The following is a 22,847-nucleotide window of genomic DNA, read 5'->3' on the forward strand; positions in this document are numbered from 1 at the left end:
CAAGGCCTTAGGCAACTCACAAGACAGCAGCTATGCATGTGAACCTTGAGCCGGCTATTTCATAACAATACAAAAATAGTTACCAGCCACCTACAGTATATTTACTTTTCCTTTTCTTTTCATATTGATTTTCTCCCACACAAACTGCCCATGAAGTAGGAAGGAGAAGTCAGTAGGTTTACATATGTGGATATTAGAACTCATGAGGGCTAAGTGACTTGCCCAGGTCCCCACAGCTAGCCTGTCAGGCTAGGAAGGCTCAAAAGTCCCTAGCAATTATCCTACCTCCACAGATACTTTCAGTTTTAGGAAGCTTTTCACAAAGTCATGGATGTCATCCTGCTACCTTAGCTGACTAAACTAATACTAAACTAAACTGAAATAACTGACTAAAACATAGATCTGTTCCAAGTTGAAGAACACCAAATAGGGACATCCTTTATTGACTGGTCATCCACTGTCTAGACAGAGAGAAGGAGATGGGGGAAGGAAGAGGAAGAGAGAGGGGATGGAGGAGGCTGATATTTATAATAAGTCCCGTTATGTAAGGTCACCAGGGTATTTCTCTTCCTGCCCATTAATATAATAGCAGAAAAGGGACAATAATACCAGTCACTCAACTTATTACAGAGCTGGTGGGAACATCCAGACAATTCAAAAAGAAAATTCTAGAAAATAGCAACCTCTAAGTAATTCAGAAAAAAAAAAGGCAGTTATAAAAGACATAATGTGATTACCCAGTAGTGACTTTCCATTGTGGACTTCTGGGCATAATAAGAACTGGATATAGAACCATCTAGACACCAATAGAGTCTCATAAGAAAGTAAGAAATACATATCACTTTCTTATTTGTCTTCCTCACTTAGATGAAAGTGATACCAGCAGTAGGATACAAAAGCTAAATCCATCAAGCTAAGTTTGTATAATAGGTGAGCAGAGCTACAAAGAGCAATTTAGAAATCTCAAGGTAAAAGTGGTAGACAATGTCATGAAAAGGAAAAAGACCACTTAAAAAATGTAGACCATTTGTAGAAGAGGATTACATAAAGAACCCTGACACTGAAGGGCATGCAGGAAAGAGAAGCCTGAGAAGGAATGGTCCAAGAGACAGGAAGAGAACAGTGACAGAAGGCCAGAGAGATTTCAAACAGTATCAGTTATTGCTCTAAGATCAAGAGGAGCTGATGACTCAAAATACACCCTGGGATTTGTCTGGCAGGTAATACTCAACCTCAGTGAAGCATCCAGTGAAGTGGTGGGGAGAAAGCCAAATTAAACTAGAGTGAAGAATAAATGAAAATGGATGGAGTGGCCACATCAGGTGTAAAATCCTCCCTCAAGATGTTTATCCTTCAAGGAAAGCAGAGAGAGAGAGATGTGGAAAGAATGGCTGAATTGCAAAAAGGATGTTTTATGATAGGGGAGAGGTTAGCAAGGGGGAATGAGTTAGAGGAGAAGAAAAAGCTGAAAGAAAAAAAAGCTATAAAGAAGATGGGTGGGCAAAGGGTCCTATGTATATGAGGAGGAGTTGGCCCTAGACAGAAGAAGGGACATCGGTGGGACAGAGGCTAAGAAGTTAGAACAAGCATCCCAACTGGTCAGTTTACAGGTAAGGCTCCTACCAGACGCCCTTCTCTGTAACCAATGAGCCAGTTACCAAATAAATGGGACTAGGGTAGAGGTTGGTAGGCACTTAGGTGGGGAAGAAAAGCTTTGGATCTGCTAAACTGAGAGAAGGGAAGTTGTGCCTATGATAACAGCTCTGATGAGAGATGGGGAAAGCTTCATGAGATAGGGCCAGAGTGGATAAGGCAGTTTGGGAGTTCTGTGGCACAGCAGGCAAGATCTGATAGCCCATTAGATATATGTGGCTGTGACTCAGAATACTCAAGAAAATGGCTGAGGGAGGAGGAGTCAAGATGGCCGAATAGGAACAGCTCCGGTCTACAGCTCCCAGCGTGAGCGACGCAGAAGACGGGTGATTTCTGCATTTCCATCTGAGGTACCGGGTTCATCTCACTAGGGAGTGCCAGACAGTGGGCGCAGGCCAGTGTGTGTGCGCACCGTGCGCGAGCCGAAGCAGGGCGAGGCATTGCCTCACCTGGGAAGCGCAAGGGGTCAGGGAGTTCCCTTTCCGAGTCAAAGAAAGGGGTGACGGACGCACCTGGAAAATCGGGTCACTCCCACCCGAATATTGCGCTTTTCAGACCGGCTTAAGAAACGGCGCACCACGAGACTATATCCCACACCTGGCTCAGAGGGTCCTACGCCCACGGAATCTCGCTGATTGCTAGCACAGCAGTCTGAGATCAAACTGCAAGGCGGCAACGAGGCTGGGGGAGGGGCGCCCGCCATTGTCCAGGCTTGCTTAGGTAAACAAAGCAGCCAGGAAGCTCGAACTGGGTGGAGCCCACCACAGCTCAAGGAGGCCTGCCTGCCTCTGTAGGCTCCACCTCTGGGGGCAGGGCACAGACAAACAAAAAGACAGCAGTAACCTCTGCAGACTTAAGTGTCCCTGTCTGACAGCTTTGAAGAGAGCAGTGGTTCTCCTAGCACGCAGCTGGAGATCTGAGAACGGGCAGACTGCCTCCTCAAGTGGGTCCCTGACCCCTGACCCCCGACCAGCCTAACTGGGAGGCACCCCCCAGCAGGGGCACACTGACACCTCACACGGCAGGGTATTCCAACAGACCTGCAGCTGAGGGTCCTGTCTGTTAGAAGGAAAACTAACAACCAGAAAGGACATCTACACCGAAAACCCATCTGTACATCACCATCATCAAAGACCAAAAGTAGATAAAACCACAAAGATGGGGAAAAAACAGAACAGAAAAACTGGAAACTCTAAAACGCAGAGCGCCTCTCCTCCTCCAAAGGAACGCAGTTCCTCACCAGCAACAGAACAAAGCTGGATGGAGAATGATTTTGACGAGCTGAGAGAAGAAGGCTTCAGACGATCAAATTACTCTGAGCTACGGGAGGACATTCAAACCAAAGGCAAAGAAGTTGAAAACTTTGAAAAAAATTTAGAAGAATGTATAACTAGAATAACCAATACAGAGAAGTGCTTAAAGGAGCTGATGGAGCTGAAAACCAAGGCTCGAGAACTACGTGAAGAATGCAGAAGCCTCAGGAGCCGATGCGATCAACTGGAAGAAAGGGTATCAGCAATGGAAGATGAAATGAATGAAATGAAGCGAGAAGGGAAGTTTAGAGAAAAAATAATAAAAAGAAATGAGCAAAGCCTCTAAGAAATATGGGACTATGTGAAAAGACCAAATCTACGTCTGATTGGTGTACCTGAAAGTGATGTGGAGAATGGAACCAAGTTGGAAAACACTCTGCAGGATATTATCCAGGAGAACTTCCCCAATCTAGCAAGGCAGGCCAACGTTCAGATTCAGGAAATACAGAGAACGCCACAAAGATACTCCTCGAGAAGAGCAACTCCAAGACACATAATTGTCAGATTCACCAAAGTTGAAATGAAGGAAAAAATGTTAAGGGCAGCCAGAGAGAAAGGTCGGGTTACCCTCAAAGGAAAGCCCATCAGACTAACAGCGGATCTCTCGGCAGAAACCCTACAAGCCAGAAGAGAGTGGGGGCCAATATTCAACATTCTTAAAGAAAAGAATTTTCAACCCAGAATTTCATATCCAGCCAAACTAAGCTTCATAAGTGAAGGAGAAATAAAATACTTTATAGACAAGCAAATGCTGAGAGATTTTGTCACCACCAGGCCTGCCCTAAAAGAGCTCCTGAAGGAAGCGCTAAATATGGAAAGGAACAACCGGTACCAGCCGCTGCAAAATCATGCCAAAATGTAAAGACCATCGAGACTAGGAAGAAACTGCATCAACTAATGAGCAAAATCACCAGCTAACATCATAATGACAGGATCAAATTCACACATAACAATATTAACTTTAAATATAAATGGACTAAATTCTGCAATTAAAAGACACAGACTGGCAAGTTGGATAAAGAGTCAAGACCCATCAGTGTGCTGTATTCAGGAAACCCATCTCACGTGCAGAGACACACATAGGCTCAAAATAAAAGGATGGAGGAAGATCTACCAAGCAAATGGAAAACAAAAAAAGGCAGGGGTTGCAATCCTAGTCTCTGATAAAACAGACTTTAAACCAACAAAGATCAAAAGAGACAAAGAAGGCCATTACATAATGGTAAAGGGATCAATTCAACAAGAGGAGCTAACTATCCTAAATATTTATGCACCCAATACAGGAGCACCCAGATTCATAAAGCAAGTCCTCAGTGACCTACAAAGAGACTTAGACTCCCATACATTAATAATGGGAGACTTTAACACCCCACTGTCAACATTAGACAGATCAACGAGACAGAAAGTCAACAAGGATACCCAGGAATTGAACTCAGCTCTGCACCAAGCAGACCTAATAGACATCTACAGAACTCTCCACCCCAAATCAACAGAATATACATTTTTTTCAGCACCACACCACACCTATTCCAAAATTGACCACATAGTTGGAAGTAAAGCTCTCCTCAGCAAATGTAAAAGAACAGAAATTATAACAAACTATCTCTCAGACCACAGTGCAATCAAACTAGAACTCAGGATTAAGAATCTCACTCAAAGCCGCTCAACTACATGGAAACTGAACAACCTGCTCCTGAATGACTACTGGGTACATAACGAAATGAAGGCAGAAATAAAGATGTTCTTTGAAACCAACGAGAACAAAGACACCACATACCAGAATCTCTGGGACGCATTCAAAGCAGTGTGTAGAGGGAAATTTATAGCACTAAATGCCTACAAGAGAAAGCAGGAAAGATCCAAAATTGACACCCTAACATCACAATTAAAAGAACTAGAAAAGCAAGAGCAAACACATTCAAAAGCTAGCAGAAGGCAAGAAATAACTAAAATCAGAGCAGAACTGAAGGAAATAGAGACACAAAAAACCCTTCAAAAAATCAATGAATCCAGGAGCTGGTTTTTTGAAAGGATCAACAAAATTGATAGACCGCTAGCAAGACTAATAAAGAAAAAAAGAGAGAAGAATCAAATAGACACAATAAAAAATGATAAAGGGGATATCACCACCGATCCCACAGAAATACAAACTACCATCAGAGAATACTACAAACACCTCTACGCAAATAAACTAGAAAATCTAGAAGAAATGGATACATTCCTCGACACATACACTCTCCCAAGACTAAATCAGGAAGAAGTTGAATCTCTGAATAGACCAATAACAGGCTCTGAAATTGTGGCAATAATCAATAGTTTACCAACCAAAAAGAGTCCAGGACCAGATGGATTCACAGCCGAATTCTACCAGAGGTACAAGGAGGAACTGGTACCATTCCTTCTGAAACTATTCCAATCAATAGAAAAAGAGGGAATCCTCCCTAACTCATTTTATGAGGCCAGCATCATTCTGACACCAAAGCCGGGCAGAGACACAACCAAAAAAGAGAATTTTAGACCAATATCCTTGATGAACATTGATGCAAAAATCCTCAATAAAATACTGGCAAACCGAATCCAGCAGCACATCAAAAAGCTTATCCACCATGATCAAGTGGGCTTCATCCCTGGGATGCAAGGCTGGTTCAATATACGCAAATCAATAAATGTAATCCAGCATATAAACAGAGCCAAAGACAAAAACCACATGATTATCTCAATAGATGCAGAAAAAGCCTTTGACAAAATTCAACAACCCTTCATGCTAAAAACTCTCAATAAATTAGGTATTGATGGGACGTATTTCAAAATAATAAGAGCTATCTATGACAAACCCACAGCCAATATCATACTGAATGGGCAAAAACTGGAAGCATTCCCTTTGAAAACTGGCACAAGACAGGGATGCCCTCTCTCACCGCTCCTATTCAACATAGTGTTGGAAGTTCTGGCCAGGGCAATCAGGCAGGAGAAGGAAATAAAGGGTATTCAATTAGGAAAAGAGGAAGTCAAATTGTCCCTGTTTGCAGATGACATGATTGTTTATCTAGAAAACCCCATCGTCTCAGCCCAAAATCTCCTTAAGCTGATAAGCAACTTCAGCAAAGTCTCAGGATACAAAATCAATGTACAAAAATCACAAGCATTCTTATACACCAACAACAGACAAACAGAGAGCCAAATCATGGGTAAACTCCCATTCACAATTGCTTCAGAGAATAAAATACCTAGGAATCCAACTTACAAGGGATGTGAAGGACCTCTTCAAGGAGAACTACAAACCACTGCTCAAGGAAATAAAAGAGGACACAAACAAATGGAAGAACATTCCATGCTCATGGGTAGGAAGAATCAATATCGTGAAAATGGCCATACTGCCCAAGGTAATTTACAGATTCAATGCCATCCCCATCAAGCTACCAATGACTTTCTTCACAGAATTGGAAAAAACTACTTTAAAGTTCATATGGAACCAAAAAAGAGCCCGCATTGCCAAGTCAATCCTAAGCCAAAAGAACAAAGCTGGAGGCATCACACTACCTGACTTCAAACTATACTACAAGGCTACAGTAACCAAAACAGCATGGTACTGGTACCAAAACAGAGATATAGATCAATGGAACAGAAATAATGCCGCATATCTACAACTATCTGATCTTTGACAAACCTGAGAAAAACAAGCAATGGGGAAAGGATTCCCTATTTAATAAATGGTGCTGGGAAAACTGGCTAGCCATATGTAGAAAGCTGAAACTGGATCCCTTCCTTACACCTTATACAAAAATCAATTCAAGATGGATTAAAGATTTAAACGTTAGACCTAAAACCATAAAAACCCTAGAAGAAAACCTAGGCATTACCATTCAGGACATAGGCGTGGGCAAGGACTTCATGTCCAAAACACCAAAAGCAATGGCAACAAAAGCCAAAATTGACAAATGGGATCTAATTAAACTAAAGAGCTTCTGCACAGCAAAAGAAACTACCATCAGAGTGAACAGGCAACCTACAACATGGGAGAAAATTTTCGCAACCTACTCATCTGACAAAGGGCTAATATCCAGAATCTACAATGAACTCAAACAAATTTACAAGAAAAAAACAAACAACCCCATCAAAAAGTGGGCGAAGGACATGAACAGACACTTCTCAAAAGAAGACATTTATGCAGCCAAAAAACACATGAAGAAATGCTCATCATCACTGGCCATCAGAGAAATGCAAATCAAAACCACTATGAGATATCATCTCACACCAGTTAGAATGGCAATCATTAAAAAGTCAGGAAACAACAGGTGCTGGAGAGGATGTGGAGAAATAGGAACACTTTTACACTGTTGGTGGGACTGTAAACTAGTTCAACCATTGTGGAAGTCAGTGTGGCGATTCCTCAGGGATCTAGAACTAGAAATACCATTTGACCCAGCCATCCCATTACTGGGTATATACCCAAAGGACTATAAATCATGCTGCTATAAAGACACATGCACACGTATGTTTATTGCAGCACTATTCACAATAGCAAAGACTTGGAACCAACCCAAATGTCCAACAATGATAGACTGGATTAAGAAAATGTGGCACATATACACCATGGAATACTATGCAGCCATAAAAAATGATGAGTTCATATCCTTTGTAGGGACATGGATGAAATTGGAAACCATCATTCTCAGTAAACTATTGCAAGAACAAAAAACCAAACACCGCATATTCTCACTCATAGGTGGGAATTGAACAATGAGATCACATGGACACAGGAAGGGGAATATCACACTCTGGGGACTGTGGTGGGGTCGGGGGGAGGGGGGAGGGATAGCATTGGGAGATATACCTAATGCTAGATGACACATTAGTGGGTGCAGCGCACCAGCATGGCACATGTATACATATGTAACTAACCTGCACAATGTGCACATGTACCCTAAAACTTAGAGTATAATAAAAAAAAAAAAAAAAAGAAAGAAAATGGCTTACATGAATTTCTCCTTTTTATCTTTAAAAGCTTCCCCCTTTCCCCAACCCCTTTGGATGTGTCTATGGTTCACCATAGCATGCATATGTCCCAGATTGCAATCCCTTGCTATTCCTGAATAAACTTCTTTTTGGAAAGTCTGTCTCTGCTGTTATTTTAGGTTGACATATAAAACTAGTGACTTCTTCCTACTTTATAAACAATGTGTTGGGGGTGACCAATATAAAAAGAAAAAGAAAATGAAATATGGCTTACATGGTTGGTAATTATTTTTATATTGTTATGAGATAGCCAACTCAAGGTTCAGGATGCATAAATGCTGTCTTGTGAGTTGCCTAAGGCCTTGGTGGTTTGTCTATATAGCAATGTTTTTGAAACATGGAACACCTACAAAGAGGTAGGGTTTTCCTGGTATGCAGCGTCTCAATTCTGTGGAATCCAGGGACTTGCATCTCTCTGACAGCTTTATTACTCAAGTGTGAATGGATATCCTCAGATGATCTTTTTTTTTTTTTTTTTGAGACAGAGTCTCACTCTGTCGCCCAGCCTGGAGTGCAGTGGCGCAATCTCAGCTCACTGCAAGCTCTGCTTCCCGGGTTCATGACATTTTCCTGCCTCAGCCTCCCGCGTAGCTGGGACTACAGGCGCCTGCCACCACGCCCGGCTCATTTTTTGTATTTTTAGTAGAGACGGGGTTTCACCATGTTAGCCAGGATGGTCTCGATCTCCTGACCTCATGATCCGCCTGCCTCAGCCTCTCAAAGTGCTGGGATTACAAGCGTGAGCCACCGCGCCCGGCAGATGATCATTTTTATCAAACAATAGTGAAAACATCAAACAATAGTAAGAACATTTGTTTCAATAAATAATGATCCCCAAATATCAAGATTATCTTAATCATCCTTTTAATCTCTCTGAAGCAGTTGACAGTGCTGATAGCCCTCCTTCTTGAAACTCCTCCCCTGACTGCCATGACTATGGGTCACAGTCAAAAAAGTTTCAAACCTACTGCTTTAAGGTAGACCAATAAGTAGAAAGTGACATCCTAAAAAAAAAACGAAGAATACCAGCTAAGGAGAAATTTTAGGCATTATAAATCAAGTCTATCCCGATATTCCCAATTCTATCTCTGATGAGTTAATAGAAATCTAATTTGATAGTTTTAGCTTTTATATCCTATGACTAATGTCCAATCAACTGTCTGTATTGTGTAACTATTGGTCTAACCGTAATTCTTTTTTAACTGCATCAACCTGTGGCATTGTTATAAATTAAACTTTTTTCTTGGTTTGGATTTTTGATCAGTGAATGGAGTCAAACTGTAACATAGACATAAGTATTAGTAAAAATACGGCACTTACTTTGACCTTTGGAAGACAGCTGTTCTCAGAATGATTGGGTTATTCTCACTGATACAATTTTGGGTTCTAAGTTTTAGCCCAGGTTCAGTGTCTCTGACATCTACACAATTCAATGCAGATTTATTTAGTTTTTTATGAAGACATTGGTTGGATTTTTTAAAAGAAATTCTTTTGAAGCAGAAAATTGACTCCATGCAGATTTTTCACTCTGTTGCACATATTAAACTACAACAATTTGGGTGATGGAAAAAAGCAGAAATAATTTGAGAGGCGTGGGCGAAAAGGCCAATAAGGCTATAAAAATTTCGAATTACAAAGAGTCAAGAGAATATTACCAACCTTTTATTGTCAGAGAAATGAAGAGTCTTACTTGTGCCCTTGAACATGAAAGGTGGGGTTGTCAGTGAATTTCAAGAGCAATTCTTTAAATAGAGGTGGGTGGTTCTCAATGAGACATGAGGGTGGTGTGAAAGTGGCTACGACCTTAAACCAGTGAGAACTAGATACACACACACACACACACACACACACACACACACACACACACACAGCAGAAGGTAGAGTTAAACCAATCTCAGTTAAAATCCCAGCTCCTTCACTTAATAGCTGTGTGATCTTGGGCAAATCACTTAACCTCCAGTAAGCTAGTTATCTTGACTTGTTAGTATCTTGGGAAGATAATAATAGCCTTCCTGAGATTGGTCCTAGATGTAAATAAGACAATTTTTGTCAAGTGCTCATCAAAGGGCATGGCAGAAAGTACTAGCTCAATATTTACTGTATTAGTTTCCTAGGGCTGCTATAACAAAGTACCACAAATTAGGTGGCTTAGAACGACTGAAATGTATTGTCTCACAGTTCTGGAGGCTAGAAGTCTAAAATCAAGGTGTCAGAAGGGTCCTGCTCCCTTTGAGACTGTAAAGGAAAGATCTTTCCTTGCTGTCTTCAGGTTCTGGTATCCCCAGGCATTTTTTGGTTTATGGCAGCATAACTCCAGTCTTCACATGGCATTCTCCCTGTATCTCTTCACAGAGTCTTCCCTTCTGTGGATATTGGTCTCTCTCTGTCCAAATTGACTCTTTTTAAAGGACACCAGTCATATTGGATTAGGGTCTACCCTAATGAACTCATTTTGACTTGATTACCTCTGTAAAGACCCTCTTTCCAAATAAAATCACATTCTGAGGAACTGGGGTTAGTACTTCAACTTATCTTTTGCAGGGGTGTGGGAAGAACACAACTCACCCTATAACAATTATTTATGAAATTATCTTGCTAGAAATATTCTGCAGGAGATACATTAGTACATGAAGTACTTCAAAATTGTAGAATATCATTCTCTAGTGATTCATTTTCTGTTTCTTTTCTTTTTAAAGGAAGGAGTACTCAGTCTTTTCAATGGAATGACATAGGTATGAACTTAATGAGTATCCTTCCTGCGCTTAGCTGAATCCGGAAAGGCAGGATATTGACTCCTTTGCCATTCTATAGATTCCTGGTCTTGAGGCAAAGAAAACTGGCACAGGCCTTTGCGACTGGGCCTGCAAAAGTATATACTACACAGAGAAAGGGCATGTATCCTTACTTTGAATGGTGTGCTAATCGTCTAACAACTTCAATTGTACTAATCACGAATGGAAGAGAACGGCTCTTTAATGGAACTTCAATGAATATAAATTACATACTTACTAATCAAAATGAATCCTTTTCAGCTAATTTCTTTTTTTCTCCTTAAATGTCTTGAGTGAGTAATATAAGCTTTTGTTATTTTTTTTGGCCAGTTTTCTCTGCCATAACCCTGATTGTAACTCCACTCTCATCATGGAACTTAATGCCCAAACACTACACATTAATTTCTATTTCTTCATATGTTTTACAAAATGATATATATTTTTGCCCCAAACTGCAACATGCTATGAAGGCTTAATATTCTAACATTGCAATCATGGGTACAACCTAAAAAAAGACTTCAAATTAGTTAGCAAAGGAAATAAAAATAGGACTCTCTGGGGACAGAATGCAGGCCAGTAGGGGATACGACACCTTGGTGGGGGTTTTTAGGGCTATGTTGATTCATTCAAATGCCTTAATGACCTCCTATGACAGAACCATGTGGCAGAGAAAAAAGATTCATATGCCAATGTGAAGGGAGAAGAAGAATCAAAATGAGGAGGAACAGATTAAATATTTCACAATTTAACAAGATGATATTTAAGGCACCTAATTTCTTGCCTTCTAAAAACTGCTAGCAAAATGTAATTTCTTGATAGCCAAAAAAAAGAATTCAAATGTACACCAGCCTCTTGTTACACTATAAAAATAAGGCCAGGCATGGTAGCTCACACCTGTAATTCCAGTACTTTGGGAGGCCAAGGTGGGCAGATGGATCACTTGAGGCCAGGAGTTCGAGACCAGCCTTGTCAACATAGTAAAACCCCATCTCTACTAAAAATACAAAAATTAGCCAGACGGGGTGGCACACACCGGTAATCCCAGTTACTTGGGTGGCTGAGGCACAAGAATCACTTGAACCTGGGGGAATTTGCAGTGACCTGAGATCGCGCCATTACACTCCAGCATGGGTGACAGAGTGAGACCCTGTCTCAAGAAAAAAATCATGAAAAATTTAACTATAAATCCAGACTTCATAAAGCAAACATATTTTCCCTTTGACAGTATTAAGTAATTTAGAGATTTATTTCTAAATTTAGAAATTTATTTCTAATTTGTCCTCAATAATAGTCATTTCTCACTTTGTAATTTGTCTTTACCTTGGTTTTCTAAAATAGTGATTAAAAACAAATAATTACACGTGCTAGGGATGCACTTCTTAAAGAAACTTAATTTTAGATTCAGCCCCATTGAGGACCTGCTGTGTTTGTTAAGTGGGCAGCAGTGATGGATGAAGGCCACACGGTGGCACTATAAGCAATGGGCTACTGATGCACCTTTTAATCAACATCTACTCTAAAAAGTGAGCCAGTCCAAGTAGCTTTGAGAAAACTGGAAAAGTCTGAGGCTGCAATGCAGAATAAAGATGAATAAAGATTACATAAATGAAAATAAAGCAGCTATAATCAAAACCACACTCTAGGCCATCTACCAAACCTAAGAAGCCACTTACTGTGATAAATTAATTACTTAAAAAACAAACAAACAAACAAACATAAATGCATGAGAGTTTTGCTATTTGGTGGACTAAAGGAAACTTTTTTGTATGTTCTGGGTTTCTTAATATTTTTTATTTTGAAATACATGGCACTGATGAATTTATCATTGAACTGCAAGATAGCCAGAAAACTAAGAATTATTAGTTCACTAGATATAGCCATAACATAAACAAGTTTAGTCAGCAAGTCTGTGTAATCTGATTGTTTCAGTCAACTAAGCAAGGCAACTGACTTTGACAGCTTAGAAAAGTGACCTTCTAGATGAAGAGTTCTGAAGGTGATTGGAAGCTCTTATCAGAAGTGCATGACAAAACCGACTCCCAAAGTAGCACCAATTAATAAAACAAATTAGCAATATACCTTCTCTTTAATGCACTGGTGCTCGTATTTCCTTCTATGAAATTTTTTCTACTTAGCAGCTATCAATCAATACCAAAACGATTATCTCTTGCTGTGCAATTGTTGGACAGCTTGGGAAGCGAAGTGGTTTATATAAAAATTTGAAACGTAGACATGAATGGAAAAGACCACTATAATTTGAAAGTGGCTTACTGCTACCCTGATTTTAGACTGGTGCCTAAGGAAAGAGCTAAAAGTGATGCATAGCAAACTGCATGAAATTGCTTGCTCTTGTAAACAGATTGTAGCAACAGGGTAAGGGAAAACTTAGACTATATATTAAAAATATAGAATGAATACCTTTCTCATGATACCATACCATATTGCTGAAGATAGGGGTGAATGGCATACATATACTTTTAACTGAGTGAAAACAACTCCAGAAAGAAAGAAAACATAGGTTATATCTGTGCCTCCTTGGAGCATTTTCAAATTATAGGATTGTATTCTTTATGTTTTTATTCTTGATAAATTTGCACCTAATTGTATGTTTCAGTTCCCAATTAAATCAAGAGCTCCTTGGGATATATAATGTATCTGCTAATTTTTAACTCCTCCATGGTTATAAAAATCATATTAATAAAATAAAAGCTACACATGTTAAGTTCTCATTAGATGCCAGATATTGTGATAAGTACAGTAGATAGCATTATATACATAAACTTCACCAAAAAACCCCCATGAGATTAGGACTAATGCTCTCTCTATTAATAAAGAGAAAACAGAGGTATAAGTTAATTTGCCAAGTACTACTACACACTACTAAGTAGCAGAGCTAAGTTTTGAATTCAAGAATACCTTCTACCAAAGCTCCCAGCTCGCCTTGTAGAGCAGAGATTGAAGCATGGTGGTTAACAGCCACAGTGCCTGAGGTCTACCCAGCTCCAAAGCTGACTGGCTTTATGGTCTTTGGCAAGTTGCCTAGACATTCTGTGTCTCTATGTAGTTGTTATTATACCACCCAGCAGTTCATAAAGTAGAAATTCAAAAACTCTTACTGAGAACCTTCCAACTTCTCTCAGCTATCTCCAACCAGTTGCTCTAATGAACAAATAAATCAATTGGCATTTGATATAATTGAAATCAGGTGCATATTTGATTTTTCCAGTAATGGTCTTCAATTGCTTCTGACAGTCACTGTGCTGTGACTATTATCACTTCAGGTGATTATAGTTAATATAGTGCTTTTTTTTCTTCAACAACTCTACTAAAATGTCTACATGTCAAATAGAGTTGGTAACTGAAATTAATAATGTAGATACATAGTAAAGCTTTCTTGAAAAGTGATCATTTAGAGTTCTGAATTTTAATATTACTATACCTCATTGAAGGATTGACACAATTTACCTCCAGCTATTTCATTTAATCTGTGCGTTGCTGTGATTTGAACTAAAATTACACAAGGCAAGGAACACAGGCATAACAGAGGTTCCTCTCATCTTCAGGGGACTCATTGAAACAAAAAAAAATCAGTAAGGGATAATATTCTCTTCTCACTTGCAATGGCATTTTGGGCATTCAGCCTCTATATTTAGAGAAATTCATTAATTCTTTAATCAGTGGCATGGAGGCAATGCAAGAATTCTGAACTCAACGTTAAGAAACACTATTTTCATCCAAACTTTGCACTGTGTATCTCACTGAACAAGTCTTTTCTATCTGCCTCAGTCTCTTAATCTGTAAAATAAGAGGATTTCTATTGTTGAACTTTAAAGTTTTAAGAATTGATACAGTACAAAGACAAAAAGTGGGATTGCAAGAGTTTTATAAATTGCTATGTGAAGAGCAGAACAATGCGCAAGTGCTTGCATTTGCTTCTTTAAAGCTTACACATTATGTTGCAGAAGGGTGGAATTGCCCTAAAAAACATAAGCCAAAGTGATCTTTAACCAAAACCCTTTTATCTAGAACAAGTTCTCTCAAATAGGAAGCTATCAAACTATTTCAAGCAGCAAGGAAACAAGGCAAAAAGGATCCTTTTGCTCACTTTCTGAGTCCTTTTTTGTCCAAAAGTAGAGTAAGATTAACCCCACCCTGTTGTATGCAACTACAAACACTGCAAAGAATAGTGATAGCACTAAATTACCATGACCCTGTAGGATCGGGGGAACACACAGGTAAAACACACCTGTTATCATCTTCCACCTGGAGACCTTCAGGAAAGTGGGGATTCCAGATCCTAACACCAGGCTAATCCATCCTTGAATCCCTTCCCCATTCTCAGCTTTGTCTTCTCTCCTGGCACAGAGTCAGCCTTCAGGAGCCATGAAACTAGAGAAGCCGAGGACAAACAGAAGCATCTCTAGCAGCAGGGTCAAAGCCTTTTCACAGTCTCTGTGTGCCTGCTCTACCCACTATGAACATGTTTCATGAATGTTCTATGTTCTTCCTCTTAGACACAATATCCATAGTGATTAAGGAGCTGGTTCCAGTCCATATTCCACCACTTACTACTCATGCGTTTTACCCTCTGGTCCTTGATTTTGTCTTCTTAAGAATGGGGATAATGGGGCCAGGCACAGTGGCTCACGCCTGCAATCCCAGCACTTTGGGAGGCCGAGGTGGGAGGATCACGAGGTCAAGAGTTTGAGACCAGCCTGCCCAACATGCTGAAACCCTGTCTCTACTAAAAATACGAAAAATTAGCTGGGCGTGGTGGCGGGCACCTGTAATCCCAGCTACTCAGGAGGCTGAGGCAGGAGAATCGCTTGAACACGGGAGGCAGAGGTTGTAGTGAGCTGAGATCGTGTCACTGCACTCCAGCCTAGGCAACAGAGTGAGACTCCATCTCAAAAAAAAAAAAAAAGAATGGGGATAATAATGGTATATATCTCACTAGATGATGAAGATTAAATGATATAGTGCATGTAGAGTGCTTAGAATGGTGTTCAGCCATACATAAAAGCTACCATAAAATGTTAACTTTGAAGACTAAATATAATACTTAGTGTCCAGTATTTCTCAGCAAACTTTCTGCAACTACATCCTTCAATGTGTTTTCACAAACAGAAATAGATTAACCAATTGATATCTACTTAAATAGTAAAACTGCAACAATTCCATGAAGACCATGTCCCCCAAATATGTCCCCCACCAGCCTGCAGTGCTATAGCCAATACCATTCTCTTGCTGCTTTACGAGGGCAGCTTTTCTTACTGTGAGAATCGAGAGGCAGAGGACTCTCTAACCCTTAAGGGGATGAAGAGGGAAAAGGGTAAAGAACCAAAGGCCTCAATTACCTACTCCAAGAATGTCAATTACATATTCCAAGTTTCCTAATCTTCTCTAATATTTGCTAAATCAAGTATTTTTCCAACCATTCAATTACCATAGAACAACTATTAATTGATACCTTACACAGTCACTGTTCTGAGGGACGTTCTTATTGAAATGTTTAACTTTGAACCACATTTTTCTTATCTCAAAGTGGGGATAATGATACATACCAAATTGGGTAGTTACATATAATAAAGAAGATGATGTAAATGAAAGTCTCTACCACAGTGAGCCACTCCACACTTTCATATCCCTGCAGGAGTATCTTTTCTCATCAGAAATAAATGTTTTATTAAATTGCAGGATGAGTAGAAAACAGGCTGCTGTCTCTAGAATTATTTTGTTCAGAAACAAATATTCTATGCATGACTATTGCATTAAAAATTGGGGTCAACTCTCTTCTTATAGAATTTTAAAGAATAAAGACATTTCTCAGTTGTGTTTTAATTTTTATCATTTATTATGTTTTTATTTTTTGCTTAATACTTTGTGTTATCATAAAAGAAGAACCAGGCGATATTCTTTTATTAGCTTTTCAATGGCTCCAGAACATTCCTTCAAAGAAGTCTTTGTAAAGTCTTTCTTCCCCACTGTCACAGTCCATGCATTAAAAGCTGACCAGCTATGTAAAATTAAAGTCAGAAAGAGGAGAGACTATAAACACAATTTCTAGTGAATTAAGTGTGAGAAGTCACTGAGTACCACCATTGCCACACACAAAATCTTGTGCAGAAGTGTCTTCTCATGTCTTCTAAGTTTTGTGAGAATCTTCACTCTAAAGCTCTGATGAAAGCAACCCAGGCCTGGATCAATAAACACATTTACTCTGAGCCTTCTATAATTATCCTGAGACCAGGAGTTCAATAATGTCACCCATGCTCAGGCTTGGTATTCACAGTCACCTCTTGATGCTTCCATGGTTCAACCCAACTCTGTGGCCAACACAAATAAGAAACTCTTCGATCTACCTTGTGTGACTTCTCAGAGAAAGAGTTTGTTCCTGCTATGCTGTAAAGGAGTACATGCTATCATCACCCACCTTGAAACTTCAGTGGTTTCCCTAGCTTTAATATTCTAAGACACTGTAAACAAAATTCATGCATTCTATTACTGCTTTCCAAATTGTGTAGAGGTAAAGCAAATTCCTCTCTACCTTCATTATTTCAAGACTAAAAAAGCAGGCTTCATAAGCGTGCAACCTGTGCAGTCACAAGGGACCCCATGCTTAGAAGAGTCCTGTGCTTGATTTAAAGTCCTCCTGTCCCAGGCTTAAAATTCTTAATTTTTGAACAAGGGTCCCAGCCTTTTCATTTTACACTGGGCTCTATAAATTACGTAGCCAGTCCTGCCAGAGTGTCTGAATTGTCTAACTCTATTCTCATGTGGCAGTCATCTTCTCTTCACTGTCTGTGGCACTGGGAATAAGACATGAATTAATGTTGGAAGTCAAAAGGATGAGCCAAGCTGAGGGCCACTTAGAGCAGCTGTGGAAAGCCTGGTCATATGACAGGTATACAGGCAGCAAGAAATGTCCATTGAAACTGAGTCCTCTGAAACCTTTGTGAGGTCTTCTGTAGTCCCGTTATTTTTACTTTGCTCAAAACTCATCAGGGTTTCTAGATGCATCAAGATATGTGTGTTATCTGTACATAAAAAATGTATCACTTCTGTCTGCAAAATTTCAGTATTATATCTCAGAGAGGATGGCAAAATAGGCTTGCCTGCTAACTGCGTTCAAAGATCCACATACACATGCTCAAATTTTTGGTGAGATGAGTCTGATTCAGTTGTATTACTCAGCATTCTGTTAAGTGGCCTTCAATACTGTCATACAGTCTAAAGCAATTGATAGTTTTAGTGCCTCTATTACATCAGAAAATACACAAGAATGACAATATGAGCAATCTACTCTTTTTCAAGAAAGATAAGCAATTCACTAGAGATGTGGAATGCTGTTTCCTAAAGCAATATCAATCCTGGATGTGGTTATGATGAAAAGCTAGTAGTCATAGCACAGTATGAACAAAGTCCAGAAAGAATACTCTGCCCAGAGTCAAATCTTTCTATCATACTCAGAGGCGAGCTACAAATAAGAAAGGAAATAAACGCTCATTTCCTCTGTAAAACAGAGGATACTTTTTCTGTAAATTCCTTTATGCACAGACTAGGGACTGATGCCATTGACACAGTGGGGAAATGACTCCACTCACTGACCCACTGGGGATGCAATCCTAACAGTTATACTTATGTGTTAGCAAGGATCTTCACTGCAGTTAATGAATGTCCCAATTTTGAGAGAGAATAGCTTTTCTGGTTGGCAGGAATCAAGAAGTGCATGCTCAGTTAGTCACTGCTCCTCATCTGAAATTCCTTCAACCTGAGGTTAGGAGCATTTATCTAAATACCAGGAGTCCACTGGAATCCTCCAGCCTCACCTCATGCCAGAAAGAGTGGATCAATGACACATTCTGGTCAAGACAAAAAGTAGCTGGAAATTACCATCACATCATAGCACTGAAAAAAAATAAAAACGAAAAACCAAAAAACTCCTTGAGAATTCCCAGCTTATCACATTATCTGGCCATGAAAGTTTATTCATATTCCAATATTTTCCATCAGATGCCTCAAATCCTTTAAGAAACAAGATGGAAATGAAGGGAGAGAAGGGGGAAAGAGAATGAGAGAGAATTGACTATGTGACATTTGAATCCAACCTAAAACTCACACCACTCACTACAGTTTCAGCTTCTTTAAATAATAATAATATGCAGAACCAACATACTTTTTCCTTTGATAAGCCTCATCCCAGCACCAACGGGGATAGGTAAGGATAGAGGTGGAATAAGGATTAACCTAGTACAAGCTACATGATTAGTAACCATGTACTCTTTTCAGAAAGAAACATAAATTGTTTCAATCAGATAACTGCCTAGTCAATGAAAATTCACTTGTATATGGAATTTTCTGCATATCGGACTTTGTGGTTCCTGCTTTAATGTTACAATTTTAACACTCACTTATTTTTGCCTTTTAATAATGTGGTTGATCAATAACAGAGCTTAACGATTTTCATTTTCAAAATTTATAGCAGTAATTTTTCAGAGTTACAAGTATCTGGGGGGGATAGTTTCAAAAAGTATTTAAGGCCAGGCAGTGGCTCACACCTGTAATCCCAGCACTTTGGGAGGCTGAGGCAGGGGGATCACAAGGTCAGGAATTCAAGACCAGCCTGAACAACATGGTGAAACCCCATCTCTACTAAAAATACAAAAATTAGCTGGGTATGGTAGGGTGGGCCTGTAATCCCAGCTACTCAGGAGGCTGAGGCAGGAGAATTGCTTGAACACAGGAAGTAGAGGTTGCAGTGAGCTGAGATCGCACCATTGCACTCCAGCCTGGGTGACAGAGCGAGACTCTGTCTCAAAAAAAAAAAAAAGGAAAAAAAAGGCGGAGGGTAGCGTGGTGGCTCATGCCTGTAATCCTAGCACTTTGGGAGGTGGAGGTGGACAGATCACAAGGTCAACAAAAATTAGCTGGGCACGGTGGTGCGCTCCTGCAGTCCCAGCTACTTGGGAGGCTAAGGCAGAAGAATTGCTTGAACCCAGGAGGTAGAGGTTGTGGTGAACTGAGATCATGCCACTGCACTCCAGCCTGGGCAACAGAGTGAGACTCCATCTTAAATAAATAAATAAATAAAATAAAGAACAAGTATTTAAAATATATCTTGGCTGGGCACAGTGGCTCACGCCTGTAATCCTAGCACTTTGGGAGGCCAGCATGGGTAGATTACTTGAGGTCAGGAGTTCGAGATTAGCCTGGCCAACATGGTAAAACCACCATCTCTACTAAAAATACAAAAATTAGCTGGGTGTGGTGGTACTCACCTGTAATCCCACCTACTCAGGATTGGGAGGCTGAGGCAGGAGAATCGCTTGAACCTGGGAGGCGGAGGTTGCAGTGAGCCAAGATTGTGCCACTGTACTCCAGCCTGGGCGACAGAGTAAGACTCTGTCTCAAAAAGTAAAATATAATATATTGGGCCGGGCATGGTGGCTCACGCCTGTAATCCCAGCACTTTGGGAGGCCAAGGCGGGCAGATCATGAGGTCAGGAGTTTGAGACCAGCCTGGCCAACATGGTGAAACCCCATCTCTACTAAAAATACAAAAAATTAGCCAGGCGTGGTGGCAGGCACTTGTAATCCCACCTACTCGGGAGGCTGAGGTAGGAGTATCACTTGAACCCAGGAGGCGGAGGTTGCAGTGTGCCGAGACCACACCACTGCACTCCAGCCTGGGCAACAGAGTGAGACTCCATTTCAAAAAATGATAATAATAATAATAATATACCTTATATTTGGAAATGAAAATATATATACTCTTTTCATATGCAAATTATAGAAAGTCACATCAAACAACTTTTTCATGGCTGGTCAGGATAGAATTCTTCTAGATTTTTATGATGGCATGAGTTTTTAAGTGCTGCAAAACATCTATATAAAGAGCATTATCTTCTTCCAATAAGTTTTTTGAGATTTCTTTTTAATTGGGTACATACTTAAGGGAAGAGATTTGGGCCATAATACAATCTCCTATTCTCAGCTCCAGTCCGACAAGAGACCCTAATTAAATTTCTAACTGTTCTCTAAATAACACATTTACCCTTATAGTAAAACTCATTTATAATAATGCTTTGGGGGGAGTACCTGATAACCTCTTAGAGGCTTCCTAATTATAAAAGACTAAATAATATATTACTGCTTTTTTTTCTAATTCTAAAATAATACATCTCACATAATCTTAATAAAGACAGTAGAGATAAAAATAGCACCAAAAAATCTACAGATCAATTTCATTATCCATATTAAGTGCTAACTGAACCCAGCATTATATCAAAATAATACACTACCACCAAACAGGATTCATCTCAGAAATAAAAGTAATACAAGACCAAAGTTTAACAAAGTTTTCAAACAGTATATAAATTAATACAGTGGAAAATAAAAATTGCCCAGAAATCAGATGGTGGTTAAGTGTGGAAAAAGATTCCAGGGCATCCACTTGCTTTAACTGTCAAAACGCCTGCATCAAAAACACTTGAATCAAAATGTTCTATGTATATAGATGGTAAACAGAAGTTACCAAAATATTTCTACCATTCATGCTATTTGCCTCTTCAGTAAGTATCCGCCTCCTACCTATTCTTAATCCATTTCCACTAATGTTTCTATGTCTAATGGTTAACAGTACATTCTGTATAAACTTTTATTCCAATGGTTCTCTTTATTCTTAAACCCTTGTGTCAATGATTTGGCCAGAGATCAATGGTCATCAGAAGATAGTTAAGTAGCTGAAGCACTCTTTTAAGATACTTCAGCTAAGCATGCTTCTGATTTACATAACAATTTTTAAAGATCCCTCAGTTTGACATAATAGAACATTGATCTATCCAAATATCAGCCTTAACAAAGTCAGAACTATGACTGCCTATAACCTCACCCCTTAGCATGTTGACTTGATTCCAACATAATTGAGATTGTCAAAGAACATGACAATATATACTTTACTTCAATGATAGCTGGAAAACAGATATTCTTTTTTTTCTCGTTTTTTCTTAATTCTTAACTCTCATGGCTGAAATATATAGATGATTCTCCGCAAGCAGAAACATGGTACACTCCACTATCTGTGAGAAGACAAGCAAAGAAGCACTTGAGACTTAAGTTACACCACTGACTGTTGTTTCTAGGGGCACTTCTCAACCAGAATTTTCCTACTCATAAAATGGGGCTACCATTGTGGTTTTGCTCACCAAGGAAATACAGAGCTGAATGGAACCACCACTGTCATCTGGCCCTCTGCCCACAGGCAGCCAAACATCTGCGTGGTAGAGAGTAGGGCTAGGGGACAGTGGCATTTGAAGGCACAGATTCAACTCTCAGCTGTGTGGTTTTCTAATTGTGTAACCTGGAGCAAATAATTAATTGTGCAACCTGGAGCAAATAATTTAAATTTAATAATAATTTAAAATCTCGAAACCTCTTTATTTTTCTTCTTTTTAAAAAAAAAATGTTTAGCTCTAAAATGAGAGTTTGAATAAAGTAATTTTTAAAGTCCCCTTGCTTTCTAAGATTTTCATATATTCAGTGTGCATGGTTCTTAAAATTTTTCTGTAAGGATTGATAAAATAAGGCTTGTGCAGCCTTTATGTCTTTAACAAGCTCAATGTGCAACCTGATTATCTGTGACTTCATTGATATAATCTTCCAATAGAATATTGCATTTCCTATTGATTGTTTATCTGTATATTTTGGCATATTGAGTGACATCATTTTTACAACTCATCAAATGGGGGTACTCTTTACTTTGAGCTCCCCTCTTCCTAAGTAGTAGGAATAGTCAATGCATTGTTTATGAAAAATGACAAGCCAGGAAAAAGGAGAGGAAAGAACAATGAGTTTCCAGCTCCACTATTAACTTCTTGCTAGACAAGACAGACTGCAGTTACCTCATCTATAAAGAAAAAAATTTAACAATTCTTACCTACCTCATAAGAATATTGAGAGAATTATATGAGTTAATATATATGTATATATGTGAAGATTAGACTCCGCAAATGTAAATTTTTTTTTTTTTTTTTGAGGCAGAGTCTCACTCTGTTGCCCAGGCTGAAGTGCAATGGAGCAATCTCGGCTCACTGCA

At 39.4% G+C, this 22,847-nt stretch overlaps 1 protein-coding gene across 2 annotated transcripts in view, besides 2 other annotated features; it reads right to left on the reverse strand.

Annotated features, from left to right (window-relative positions):
- The window catches only part of PDE11A (phosphodiesterase 11A), a 485,096-nt gene that overhangs the window by 347,925 nt on the left and 114,324 nt on the right, over positions 1–22,847 (reverse strand). The window lies entirely within an intron of this gene.
- Positions 1,459–2,127: an enhancer, noted in NCBI's record as "H3K27ac-H3K4me1 hESC enhancer chr2:178837354-178838022 (GRCh37/hg19 assembly coordinates)". NCBI's record gives its function as "activates a minimal SCP1, AML or CMV promoter by ChIP-STARR-seq in naive H9 embryonic stem cells {active_cell/tissue: H9 hESC(naive)}" and the evidence as "EXISTENCE:reporter gene assay evidence [ECO:0000049][PMID:30033119]".
- Positions 2,128–2,796: an enhancer, noted in NCBI's record as "NANOG-H3K27ac-H3K4me1 hESC enhancer chr2:178838023-178838691 (GRCh37/hg19 assembly coordinates)". NCBI's record gives its function as "activates a minimal SCP1, AML or CMV promoter by ChIP-STARR-seq in naive H9 embryonic stem cells {active_cell/tissue: H9 hESC(naive)}" and the evidence as "EXISTENCE:reporter gene assay evidence [ECO:0000049][PMID:30033119]".

The sequence above is a fragment of the Homo sapiens genome, chromosome 2 (genome assembly GCF_000001405.40).
Source record: "Homo sapiens chromosome 2, GRCh38.p14 Primary Assembly".
In the NCBI taxonomy this organism is placed as follows: domain Eukaryota; kingdom Metazoa; phylum Chordata; class Mammalia; order Primates; family Hominidae; genus Homo; species Homo sapiens.